The 14,256-nt window shown below is 38.6% G+C and overlaps 2 long non-coding RNA genes and 1 pseudogene across 2 annotated transcripts in view; 2 read left to right on the plus strand and 1 right to left on the minus strand.

Annotated features, from left to right (window-relative positions):
* The first annotated feature begins 777 nt into the window (after positions 1–777).
* The window catches only part of ZNF32-AS3 (ZNF32 antisense RNA 3), a 45,883-nt gene continuing 32,404 nt past the window's right edge, over positions 778–14,256 (plus strand). The window contains exon 1 of the long non-coding RNA NR_038867.1: positions 778–939. This is a non-coding gene — a long non-coding RNA (ZNF32 antisense RNA 3). The remainder of the gene's footprint in view (positions 940–14,256) is intronic.
* LOC124902416 (uncharacterized) lies at positions 2,743–3,445 on the minus strand. The gene is made up of 2 exons (XR_007062132.1): positions 3,279–3,445; positions 2,743–3,006 (listed from the first exon to the last, which is right to left on the minus strand). It is a non-coding gene; the product is annotated as an uncharacterized LOC124902416 (long non-coding RNA).
* Positions 2,908–3,375, plus strand: RPL21P88 (ribosomal protein L21 pseudogene 88; annotated as a pseudogene).

The raw sequence follows: 14,256 nt of genomic DNA on the forward strand, positions 1-14,256 counted from the left end.
GTTACAAATATGATCATGGATGGAGGTGAGTGGCTCTGGTCTTCTGGAGAGGAAGTTCATTGGAAGTAAGGAGGAAAAGTGATGAGTCATTTATAAGCACTCCAAGTGTGATGACAGTAGAGCTGGAGTGAGTGATAATGATACAGGAACTAAAATCTTCAAGGGGTGACCCAGGTGATAGATGATTGCTGCAAAGAGGAATAATGTGTACAATGGCTTTAAGGCAAGAGACTCAACGTTGGAGTTAAGAGGGAGGGAGAGAGTATTGCCTTGAAGCAAGCAGAGACAGGGTCACAACAGGCTATAGTCAGGATTATATGAGATGTTTGTATAGGCAAAACCCCAAGAAACTTCCTGAAAGGTTACGGTAATAGTAAAACAAGTTTTTCCATCACATCTGTAGCTTGTGTTGAATGAGATGTATTGATTACAGTCGCCATCTCGGACTATGGCAAAGCTAGGGAGGTTAGTGGCCTGAAAACATAAAAGGAGTATAATCAGTAAAATCAAGAAAAACTAGGCAGGCTGGCCAGAATTACTGGGAAGAGATAGAAATTAGAAAACAAGCAGAATTGTAGAGTGATTTGCATTCTTTAATCAAAGGAATGAGGCTCTCTAAGAGTAAGGTGAGATTCAGCACTGCAGAAACACAAGTCTTGGTCATGGCTGGATTGTACATTCTGTTGTCACTAAGTCCCTGACCCTATGGCAACGACATCATAATGACCCCAAATGCAAGTAAAGTAAACAAAATCAGGGCAGGGCTACAGGTGATCTGGTGAACTGGACTTGGTGGATGGTGTGGAAGGGACTTTGGGAGAGACCTGTGCCCATGATAAAAGGGAAGATGAAGATGTTCCTTTGAGTTTGCATGTGTGGGGCCTTTTTGGCATGGTTGACTTGTCTGTACTCCTTCCTGTGACTTGACATCAAAATTAGGTAAGAAATCATGTATTTATTCATCCTTGTTGACTTTTCTAGTTTTCTGTGGCATTGATTCTTGAATGGAAGCCCTAGCAATGAGGAACTTGGCGTGGAAAAGGAGGACAGACATGCACTGTCTCAACCCCCTGTGTAAGGAGTAGGGTAATCCAGGCCACCTGCTGCTTGGAATTTTCTTCCTGCTCTTTTATTGCCCTGAAGGGAGTTTTGGGTCTGCCTAGAGAGTCTGGTAGGGTTGAGAGTCAAACTGTGCAGCTGGTAAGAAGAATGGGCTGTAGGCTTGTTAAAACACAGTGTGCTGTCTCTCCCTCCCTTTTCCGCAATCTCCGCAGTTTCGGGGTCAGTAGGTCTGGGATAGGCCCTGAGGATTTGCATTTCCTATAAGTTCCCAGGTGATGCTGATGTCCTCAGGAACCACTAGGTTGGATTTATATGTATTTCTGCAGAAGAATGTTTTTGATACCGTGGAGGATACACCCCAAGTGTTATGGGTTCAATTCTGTCCTCCAAAAAGATATGTTGAAGTCCTAACTGCCAGTACCTCAGACCATGTCCTGCTTGGAAATAGGATCTTTGCAGATGTAATTAGTTAGGATGACATCATAGTGGCATAGGGTGGGCCTTTAATCCAATGTGACTGGTGTCCATATAAGAGGTGGAGAAATGTAGAGACACAGACACATGGGAGAAGGCCATGTGATGGCACAGGCGGAAAGTGAAGTCCTGCAGCTGCAAGCCAAGAGCGCCAAGGGTTGACAGCAAACCACCAGAGCTAGGGACAGGCAAGGAGGGGCTCTCGCTACAGTTTCAGAGGGAGCACGGCCTCGATTTTGGACTTCTAGCCTCCAGAACTGCCAGATAATAAATTTCTGTTATTTAAGCCACCTGGTTTGTTGTACTTTATTATAGAATCCTTAGAAAAGTAACACACTAAAGTTACCTTCAATGGGTCACGCCCTTGTGTAACCTCTCCCTTTGTGGGAATAACCAGAGACTTGCCTCTGATAGAATATGGCAGAGGTGATGGGATGCCACTCCTATGGTGGTTATGTTATATAAGACTCTGGAGACTCTCAGCAGACTTGGAAGATAAGCAGACTCTTAGCAGACTTGGAAGATAAATTCTCTTCTGTTGGACTTGAAGAGGCAAACTGCCATGTGGTGGCAGAGAAGTTTAAGTGGCCTGCAGGACCTCAGGGCAAACTTCAGCTAATAGTAAGAAGCTGGGACCCTTAGTACTACAGCCATCGGGAAATGCATTGTGCCACCATCTGAATGGGCTAAGGAGGGATCTTCTCTAGTTAAGACCAGATGGACACGGCTTGGCTGGCAACCTGATTTCAGGCTGGTGAGACCCTGAGCAGAGTTCCCAGCTTGGCCCCTCCTTAACTTCAGAACCACGCAAAATTGTGAGATAATGTATTTGTGTTTTTCAACCTGCTAAGTTTGCAGTAATATGTTACTAGAATGTAAAGATAGATACGTTTATTAATGAAAAAAGAAAAACTAAACTTCCAAACGATGTGTATAGAGTGGTCCTTTTTTGTTTAAAAAGAATGAAATAAGAAAATATGTTCAAATTCCATGGTTTGTGTAAGTATATATATCAAATAGTATATAGAAATACACACGACCAGTATACTGTGGTGTGTGTGTGTGTGTGTGTGTGTGTGTGTGTAACTTTGGAGTGATGTTATTTGGAATGATGTAACACTTGGGATTTTGGAGTAGGGAGATTATTGGCTTTTTTAAGTATAACTTTTTCTTTGGAAGTGGTAAGGAGCATGTTTAGCTTTAATGGGAAAATCAGATAAAGTTTATTAAAGAGAAAATTAATGTATGTTGTTGGTCATTTTTGGTTATAAAAATAATGTATGTTTATTATAGAAAAACACAGAAACAAGAAAATAAAAGTTTATTATGGCCCTTTTGGCCAGAACCACCGTCTTCCAGTAATTCGACAAAATGACAAACACAAAGGGAAAGAGGAGAGGCTCCTGGTAGATGTCTTCTAGGCCTTTTAGGAAGCATGGAGTTGTTCCCTTTGGTCACGTATATGTGAATCTATAAGAAAGATGATATTGTAGACATTAAAGGAGTGGGCACTGTTCAAGAAGGAATGCCCCACAAGTGTTATCATGGCAGAACTGGAAGAGTCTACAGTGTTACGCAGCAGGCCGTCGGCATTGTTGTAAACACACAAGTTAAGGGCAAGTTCTTGCCAAGAGAATTCATGTGGGTATTGAGCACTTTAAGCGCTCTGAGAGCTGAGCTAGCTTCCTGAAACTTGTGAAGGAAAATGATCAGAAAAAGAAGGAAGCCAAAGAGAAAGGTACCTGGATTCAGCAGAAGTGCCAGTCTGCTCTGCCCAGAGAAGCGCACTGTGTGAGAACAAATGGGAAGGAGCTTGAGCTGCTGGAACCTCTTCCCTATGGATTGATTCATGGCATAATCGGTGTTAAAAAAAATAAAATAGAAGACCTCTGGATTGTAAAAAAAAGAAAATTATGAGCACCCCTCCAGAAGATAAACACTATGTAATCCTTGCTTTTAACAGTTCACCTTTTAAACATTATATTTAATAATATATTTAATATTTTGTATACACAAACATATATAACACAACACATGTAAACTACGGAACAGTGGAGTAAATTGTGTGTTGATGTTTATGGACTTTAGCAAAAGCGCCGGCCCAGTTTGTGTTTGGTCTCAGAGCCTCTTTGGGGTTGATGGAAGTCATATTCACAGTGCTGAACAGTCGCAGCCGCTGCTTCTGAATTTTGTCCCACCTTGTGTTTATTTCCCTCCCTTTCTGAATTCTCTGTTTCTATCTGTGACCCTAACCCCTAAGAACTCTCAGGAACAGTGCTCCCTTGGCTGGTTTAAGCTAAAATTTCCACCCTGTGGCAGAGGAGATCCAGTGGTTCTCTTCTGGAGTTTACTTGTCACCACCTTTTATTTCCTGGGAAAATTTGATTATGAGGTTGGATAGTTTGTTTAAAAAAAGTCTGTTAATGTTTAATCCACACGTTCAAACCTAAGGAGCTCTGGAAATAATTTTTTAAATAAAAAAAATTTTAATATGAAACAATTAAAGGGCCAGGCACGGTGGCACACACCTGCAATCCCAGCACTTTGGGAGGCCGAGGTGGGAGGATGGCTTAAGTCCAGGAGTTCGAGACCAGCTTGGGCAACATAGGGAGACCCTGTCTCTACAAAAAATAGAAAAATAGCTGGGTGTGGTGGTGCATGCCTGGGGTCCCAGGTAGTTGGAAGGCTGAGGTGAGAGGATCGCTTGAGCCTGGGAGGTTGAGGCTGCAGTGAGCTGTGATCATATCACTACACTCCAGCCTGGGCGACAGAGTGAGACCCTGTCTCAAAACAACAACAACAACAACCATTAAAGTATATATAACTTAATCTAGCAATTCTACTTCTACGAATGTATTTTATGTTTAACTGTTCACAGTTACATGAAAAGATATGCATAAAGATGTTCCCTGCGGCATCGTTTGTGATAGTAAACACTTCTAAGCTAATAAATCAACAGAGAAACTTGTAAATGAAATATAACCTGTGATATTGTGAAATATATATATTTAATCTTTGTCCTCATTTCCTGACATACAGCTCATAATTGTCAATTAACAATCCAGGCAGATCTAGATGAAGTAATGTAGAAAATCAGAATATTTTCAGGGGAAAAAGTAAATGTGTAGATCAAGCTTGTCCAACCCATGGCCCATGGCCGCATACGGCCCAGATAGCTTTGAATGCGGCCCAACACAAATTCGTAAACTTTCTTAAAACATTATGAGATTTTTTTTGGCGATTTTTTTTAAAGCTCTTTAGCTATTGTTAATGTTAGCGTATTTTATGTGTGGCTCAAGACAATTCTTCTTCCAATGTGGCCCAGGGAAGCCAAAAGACTAGACCCGCCTGATGTAGATCATTATGTGTGGTTTGATCCTGTTAAGGAAATAAACCATATGTGTACCTCCAAGCTCCCTTCCTCACTCTTTTTATAGTGAAATTGCTCTGAATGTTTCCTCTGCACACATTGAGAACCACATCAGTGTTATAGTTATTGCTTCAGAAGCCTAACATAGCTTAGAAAACTTAAGAGAAGGATAATCTATTATATCTACCCATATTTCTACTCTTTCTGTTTTTTGTTTGTTTGTTTTGTTTTTTGAGACAATCTCACTCTGTTGCCCAGGCTGGAGTACAGTGGTGCGATCTTGGCTCACTGCAACCTTTGCCTTCCAAGTTCAAGTGATTCTCCTGCCTCAGCCTCCCGAGTAGCTGGGATTACAGGCGTCTGCCACCATGCCAGGCTAATTTTTTTTTGAGATAGAGTCTTGCTCTGTTGCCCAGGCTGGAGTGCAGTGGCGTGATCTCAGCTCACTGTAGCCTCTGCCTCCTGGGTTCAAGCGATTCTCCTATCTCAGCCTCCCGAGTAGCTGGGATTACAGGCACACACCACCACACCTGGCTAATTTTTGTATTTTTAGTAGAGACGGGGTTTCACCATTTTTGCCAGGCTGGTCTCGAACTCCTGACCTCAGGTGATCCACCCAGCTCGGCCTCCCAAAGTGGTGGGATTACAGGCATGAGCCACCGGACCTGGCCTCTTTCTGTTTTTATTTCTTATTTTCTCATGCTTCAAGTTTCCTTGTTTTATCATTTTTTCTGCTCGAAGAACTTTTTTAGCCATTAATTTAGGGATGGTCTGCTGTTGACAAATTCTGTTGGTTTTCTTTCATCTGAAAGAAATGATTGATTTCCCCTTCATGTTCCTTTTCATACTTAAAAAAATTAACTTTTAAGTTCCGGGTACATGTGCCGGTTTGTTATGAAGGTAAACTAGTGTGATGGGGATTTGTTGTACAGATTATTTCATCACTCAAGTATTAAGCCTAGTACCCATTAGCAGTTTTTCCTGATCCTCTCCCTGCTCCCAACCTCCAATAGGCCCCAATGTGTGTTGTTCTCCTCTATGTGTCCATGTGTTCTCATCATTTAGCTCCCACTTATAAGTGAGAACATGCAGCATTTGGTTTTCTGTTCCTGCATTAGTTTGCTAAGGATAATGGTCTCCAGCTCCATCCATGTTCCTGCAAAGGATGTGATCTCATTCTTTTTTATGGCTGCATAGTATTCCATGGTGTATATGTACCACATTTTCTTTATCCAGTCTATCACTGATGAACATTTAGGTTGAGTCTATGTCTTTACTATTGTGAGTAGTGCTGCAGTGAACACATGTGTGCATGTGTCTTTATAATGGAATGACTTATATTCCTTTGGATGTATACCTAGTAATTTAATTGCTGGGTCAAATGGTATTTCCGTTTATAGGTCTTTGAGGAATCACCATATTGTCTTCCACAATGTTTGAAATAATTTACACTCCCAACAACAGAGTAAAAGCATTCCTTTTTTCTATCTACACCTTCACTAGCATCTGTTACGCTTTGACTTTTTAGTGATAGCCATTCTGATTGGCATGAGATGGTATCTCATTGTGGTTTTGATTTGCATTTCTCTAATGATCAGTGATGTTGAGTTTTTAAAAAGTGTGATTGTTGGCCCCATGTATGTCTTCTTTTGAAAAGTGTCTGTTCATGTCCATTGTCCACTTTTTCTTTTTCTTTTTTTTGAGACAGAGCCTCGCTCTATTGCCCTGGCAGTGCAGTGGCATTAGCTTGGCTCACTGCAACCTCTGCTTCCCAGGTTCAAGTGATTCTCCTGCCTCAGCCTCCTGAGTAGCTGGGATTACAGGTGCATGCCACCATGCCTGGCTAATTTTTGTATTTTTAGGAGGGATGGCCAGGTTAGTCTTGAACTCCTTACCTCAAGTGATCCGTCTGCCTCAGCCTCCCAAAGCGCTGGGATTAAAGACGTGAGCCACTGTGCCCCATCTGTTTGCCCACTTTTTAATGGGTTGTTTGTTTTTCTCTTGTAAATTTGTTTAAGTTCCTGATAGATGCTGGGTATTAGACCTTTGTCAGGTGCATAGTTTGCAAAAATTTTTTCCCATTCTATAGGCTGTCTGTTCACTCTATTGATAGTTTCCTTTGCTGTACAGAAGCTCTTTAGTTTAATTAGATGCCATTTGTCAATTTTTGCTTTTTCTGCAATTGCTTTTGGTGTCTTTATCATGAAATCTTTGCTCATTTCTATGTCCAGAATGGTATTGCCTAGGTTGTCTTCCAGGGTTATTATAGCTTCGGGTTTTACATTTAAGTCTTTAATCCATCTTGAGTTAATTTTTGTATATTGTGTAAGGAAGAGTTTCAGATTCAATCTTCTGCATATGGCTAGCCAGTTATCCCAGCACTATTTATTGAATAGAGAATCCTTTCCTCATTGCTTGTTTTCATCAGGTTTGTTGAAGATTGGATAGTTGTAGGTGGGTGGCCTTATTTCTGGCTTCTCTATTCTGTTCTATTGGTCTCTCTGTTTTTGTACCAGTACCGTGCTGTTTTGGTTACTGTAGCCCTGTAATATAGTTTGAAGTTAGGTAGCATGATGCCTCCAGCTTTGTTCTTTTTGCTTAGGATTGCCTTGGCTCTTCAGGCTCTTTTTTGGTTCTATATGAATTTTAAAATAGTTTTTTCTAGTTCTGTGAAGAATGTCAATGGTAGTTTAATAGGAATAGCATTGAATCTGTAAATTGCTTTGGGCAATATGGCCATTTTAATGATATTGAGTTTTCCTATTCATGAGCATGGAATATTTTTCCATTTGTTTGTGTCATCTCTGATTTCTTTGAACAGTGTTTTATAGCTCTTCTTGTAGAGAAAGATCTTTCACCTCCCTGGTTAGCTGTATTCCTAGGTATTTTATTTTATTTTTTGGCAATTGTGAATGGGACTGCATTCCTGATTTGGCCCTCAGCTTGACTGTTGTTGGTGTAAAGGAATGTTAGCGATTTTTGCATATTGATTTTGTATCCTGAGACTTTGCTGAAGTTGTTTATCAGCTTAAGGAGCTTTTAGGCTGAGACTATGGGGTTTTCTAGATATAGGTTCTTATCATCAGCAAACAGGGAGACTTTGACTTCCTCTCTTCCTATTTGGATGCCTTTTATTTCTTTCTCTTGTCTGATTGCTCTGGCCAGGACTTTCAATATTATGTTGAATAGGAGTGGTGAGAGGGGGCATCCTTGTCTTGTGCCAGTTTTCAAGGGGAATGCTGCTTCCAGCTTTTCCCCATTCAGGCTGTGGGCTTGTCATAGGTGGCTCTTATTATTTTGAGGTATGTTCCTTCCATACCTAGGTTATTGAGAATTTTTAACATGAAGGGATGTTGCATTTTATCAAAAGCCTTTTCTGCATATACTATAGATGATCATGTGGTTTTTGTCTTTAGTTCTGTTGATGTGATGAATTACATTTATTGATTTGCATATGTTGGACCAACCAAACTTGCATCCCAGAGATAAAGCCTATTTTGTTGAGGATTTTTGCATTGATGTTCTTCAAGGATGTTGGCCTGACGTTTTCTTTTTTTGTTGTGTCTCTGCCAGGTTTTGGCATCAGAATGATGCTGGCCTCATAGAATGAGTTAGGGAGGAGTCCTTCCTTCCCCTTTGTTCTTGAATGATATATTTTCACTGATATAAAATTTTGGGTTGAGAGTTCTTCTCCCTGAAAAATGTGTGCCAACTCCTTCTGGCCCCTGTAATTTCTAGTGGCATATCCATTGTTACTCAAATCATTCATTCGCTATAGATTATGTTTTGTTTCTCTCTAGCTGCTTTCAAGATTTTTTCATCATGATTGATTTAACGAAGTTTGATTACGATGTGTCTTGCTGTGTGTTTCTTTGGGTTTATCATGTTTAAAGTTTGCTCTGCTTCTTGAATCTGGAAGTTTGTGGCTTTCACCAAATTTGGGCAATTTTCAGCCATTATTTTTTTCAAGTACTTTCTCAGCCTTACTTTATTTTCTCTTCTAAAATAACAGTGATACCAATGTTATCTCTTTTGTTATTGTCTCACAGGTCCCTGATAATCTGTTCATTTCTTTTTAGTCTATTTTCTCTCTCATTCAGATTGGGTAATTTCTATTATTCTATTTTCAAATTTATTGATTCCTTGCTCTACCATATTCTTGCTGCTATTGAGCCATCTAGTGAGTTTTAAATTTATTTTTCAGTTCTAAAATTTCCATTTGATTCTTTTTTATTCACCACCTGCATGACCTTGTGTAGTTTTTTAACCCCTCTAGACTTTAGTTTCCTGAATTATAATTAGCACTTACCCAAGTTTGCTGTGAGAGCCAAGGATATAAAGCTTAGCTCAGCATCTAGCAAAGCCTAAACATTTCAAAAATGTTAGTTCCCATTTAAAAATCATTTTTCTACATACTAATATCAAATATTTCTGGTTTTCTGGTGTATGATTTTTATTGTATGGGGGTCAGTCCCACCTTACAGACACATTGATATTTTACAATGAAAGTCAGTGGGAAGTTAGATTCTCATTTTACCAGAGCAAAATTCTGCACTTCAGTGGAATATGTTTACTCATTCTTAATGTACCCATACATTAGGAACTTTAGCCTAAAATTTTAATTTAACATTTTGATATTTTATGATTTGTTTTAAGTATATTTTATGTGTTATACATATTATACAAATATATGCACATTTATACAGATATATGTATTATATATACATATATAGATACATATATATATATACAGATGTATGTATTATGTATACATATATAGTTGATTCTCATTATTCACAGTAGTTATGTTCTGTAAAGTCTCTGTGAACATTGATTAGCAAATATGGAACCATTGTTCCTAGGAGAAATACAGGGTTAGGTTCCTACAAGCTTCTAGTCACAATATTTTAATAATCTGATCAACATATAACCTTGTTTTATGTATGTTTGTTTAAAGAAACCTAATTCAATATATATTGTTGATTCATTTACTTTAAACTCATTGCCAAGAGGAATATAACTCATCCCTGAACAAAGCTTATGTAACACATGTGTTTTCTCCCTTCACAAGGCACATCACAGCTTAGGAACAGCAGAGAGCACTTCAGCACTACATTTGAAGTCATTTTAAACAGCAAAATCATCAACAAAAAGCACAAACCTGTGAAAAACATAGCACTAAATATATTGTGAAAAGGCCACTTGCTTATAATGTGAGAATTGAAACAAGAAGACAGAATAATACTTTGTTTGATCTTAGCTGGGAATGTGCATGTTGCATGACTCGAATTTCTCACTGTCCTCTGCATGTCTGTGAATGACTGACCACAAAAGCACAGTAAATTGATTCGAGGGTTACAAATAAAACTTAGCAAGTAGGTATATTTGTAAGAATGGAATGTATGAATAATGAAGATCAGCTCTACAGACACACACACACACACACACACACACACACACACACACCCCTACATATATACATTTTCTTAATTATCGACATTCTAGGTAGATGAAACAGATTTGGGTCTTTACTTGGGCATATAATATGGTGCTGTGATGGGGAAAAATTTTAGACTTGCAAAGGCACATTAATTTTACAAACTACACTTTATCATGATGTATTATGTATTTTATGTATTGTTTGATTAGATTTGCTAAAATATTAAGTATTTTTGTGTCTATGTTCATGAGGGATGCTGATGTATAATTTTCTTTTCTTATGATATCTTTGGTTCTAGAGTCAAAGTAATACTGATTTTATACAATGACTTGGTGCATATTCTCTTTCATTTTCTGAAAAAATGTGTAGGAATACTTTTTTTTTATGTTTTACGTTTTATCAGTGAAGCCATTTGGCCTGCAGTTTTCTTTGTGTGAAGGTATTTGAAATTCTTTATTAGATATAGGGATATTGGATTTTCTATTTCTTTTCTTTTCTTTTTTTTTTTTTTTTTTTTTTTTTGGTGGAGACAGGGTCTCAGTATGTTGCCCAGGCTAATTTTAAATGCCTGGCCTCAGGGTGATCTTCCTGTCTTGGTCTCTCAAAGTGCTAGGATTACAGGTGTGACCCACTGCACCCGGCTGATTTTCTGTTTCTTCTTGTGTCATTTTGGCAAGTTGTGTCTTTTAAAGACTTTGTAAACTTCATTTTTGTTGTTGAACTTATCGACATAACATTGTTCACAGTATGCTTTCATTATTCCTTTAATATCTTTGTAATTTGTTGTGATGTCCTTTCTTTTATTACTGATATTTGTAATTTGTGTTTTTTTTTGATTAGCCTTGGTATGAGTTTATCAGTTTTATTAACCTTTTCAAAGAGCTAACTTCTGGTTTGCTGATATTCAGTTTCATTGATCTACTCTATTATGAACAAATATCTTCTTACTTTGGTTTTGATTAACTCTTTTTCTAGCTTCTCAAGTGGGTAACAGATAGTGATTTTATGTTTTTTCTTTTCTAATCCAGGCATTTTAAAGCTACACAATTCCCTAAAGAGCTGCTTTAACTGCAGCCCTCAGATTTTGACATGTATTATCATTCAGTTCAAAATATTTTCCAATTTTCTTTGTGACTTATTCTTTGAACTATAAGTGATTTAGAAGTGTATAGTTTAATTTCCAAACAATTGGGGGAATTTTCTAGATATTTTATTATTATTGATTACTAATTTAATGCTGTAGTGGCCAAAGAATATACTCTGTATAATTCAAATGTTTTAAATTTATTGAGACTTGTTTTGTGGCCCAGCATATGGTCTGTTTTGGTGAAGGTTTCATGTGCACTTGAAAGGAATGTGTATGCTACTTTTGATGTGTGTAGTGTCCCACAAATACCAATGGCATCAAGTTGGTTGATAGTGCTATTCAAATCTTCCATATCCTTACTGTTTTTTTTTCCCTAATTTTACCAGCTGTTGAGAGAGGGGGTGTCAACATCTCTAACTATGGGATTTTGGTGGTGTCTATATTTCCTTTGTTCTCTCAATTTTTGCTTTATGTATTTGGGACCTGTGATATTGCATTATATATATATTTTTTAATTTTAATTTTAATTTATTTTTTTGAGACAGAGTCTCATTCTGTCACCCAGGCTGGAGTGCAGTGGCACAATCTTGGCTCACTGCAGCCTCCATCTCCTGGATTCAAGTGGTTCTCCTGTCTCAGAGTCCCAAGTAGCTGGGATTACAGGTGTCCACCACCACTCCTGTCTAATTTTTGTATCTTTAGTAGAGATGGGGTTTCACCATGTTGGCTAGACTGGCCTCGAACTCCTGATCTCAAGTGATCCACCCACGTCAGCCTCCCAAAGTGCTGGGATTACAGACATAAACCACCGTACCCTGGCCTATATATTTGGTTTTCGTCTCCATTTCCTGACATATCAGCTTCTAACTCTCTTGGAATCTCCTGAGTGATAAGAGTGTCTTTTTTATGCTAATGAGATGACTATGGCCAGAGGCCCCAAGGTAGCTTCAGGATGGGGCTGGTCACCATAAAGACCAAAGTAGGATTAGGGGACTGGAACTTTCAGCACCCCCCTACCACAGGGAGGGGAGAGGGTCTAAAGGTTTAGTTGATCACCAATGGCCAATGATATATTTTCTGACCTCTTTACTCTTTATTATTTACTCATTCCTTTTTGCAGAACTATGCTTTTAAGATTATATATATCTATATAGCTCTTTCTCTATATCTATCTATATATACACATATATATATTTGAGGTTCTGAAAGTATAAGTATACATATAGGCATATATTTTTACATTTCTTATAGTGCAGTACTGCTGGAGTCCAGCATCTACTTCTTCATTTTATAACTTGGATTAGATCTCAGTTAACTAACCTATACCATGCCTCTTATTTTGTCAAAGAGAATGTTTATTTTTAAACCTTAAGCTTTCTGATGAATCATAAACCATAATTTCCTATTTTGATTTAGCCAGTGAGGTAATATCAAGTTGCTTCCCCAGGTTTTTCTTTTTCTTTTTTTTTTTTTTCTTTGAGACAGAGTTTTTGTTCTTGTTGCCCAGGCTGGAGTGCAGTGGTGCAATCTCAGCTCACTGTGACATCTGCGTCCTGGGTTCAAGTGACTCTTCTGCCTCAGCCTCCCAAGTAGCTGGGATTATAGGCATGCGCCACCATGCCTGGCTAATTTTGTATCTTTAATAGAGACAGAGTTTCTCCATGTTGGTCAGGCTGGTCTTGAACTCCCGACCTCAGGTGATCCACCCACCTTGGCCTCCCAAAGTGCTGGGATTACAGGCGTGAGCCATCGTGCCTGGCCTCAGATTTTTCCTATATATAAATTTTACAATGGCTTATCCTTAAAAAGTACTTAAGTTATTCTATTATTGCTGCATAACAAATTACCTGAAAATTTAGTGGTATCCAACCATAATGTTTCATTTTTCTCATGATTTTGTCAGGGATTAGGTGAGGCAGTCTCACTTTGGAGTCTGTCATGCAGTTTTGGCCAGATGTCAGATGGGGCTGCAGTCATGTGAAGGTTCTACTGGGCCGGAAACCTACAATGACCCTCACACATGGCTGGCAGGCTGTTGGGAGCTCAGCTGAAACTGTTGGCTGGAGCATTTATATGCAGCTTGTCCATGACAGTGATTTCAGGATAACTGGACTTTTTACATGGGCTGGTTTCACCTGAGAGGAAGTGTCTCAAGAGAACCAGGCAGAAATTTTTCAGACCTTTTAGAGGCTTTTCAGAACTATACTTGGTGTAGTATCATTTCTGTTGTGTTCTATTGTTTGAAGCAGTCACAAGCGTGTCCAGATTCAAGTGGTGGTGACATACCCCCCATCTCTTCATGGGATGAGTGTCAAAGAGCTTGTGGGCAATACATTTATACTGTTTCATGGTTACTGAAGTATATCTTACATGTAATAAAATGCACGGATCTTAAGCATCGAGTTCAATGAATTTTGGTAATTGTTTAGACCCCTGCATCAACTGCCTGATGTCAGGTACAGAACATTGTTTTCACTCTGTAAACTTCCCTTGCGTGCCTTTCAAGTCAATCCTCACACATAGTTTTTCCTGTTCTGTGAAGGCACATAAGTGGAATTATACTATTTGTGTATTTGGCTTCTTCAACTCAAATAAAACTTTCAGATTCATCCATATTGTTGATGTACCACGTGTATGTTCTTTTTTATTGCTGAGTTGTATTTCACTGTATGGATATACTACAGTTTCTTTATCCCTCACCCATTGTTGGACATTTCTAAGTGTGTGGCTATTATAAATGAAGATGACATGAACATTCTTGTATACAGCTTCAAATGTTATTGTGGTATCTTTGGAATATTTTTGTATTATTAGAATCCAGTG

This window comes from Homo sapiens, chromosome 10 (assembly GCF_000001405.40).
Source record: "Homo sapiens chromosome 10, GRCh38.p14 Primary Assembly".
Lineage (NCBI taxonomy): Eukaryota > Metazoa > Chordata > Mammalia > Primates > Hominidae > Homo > Homo sapiens.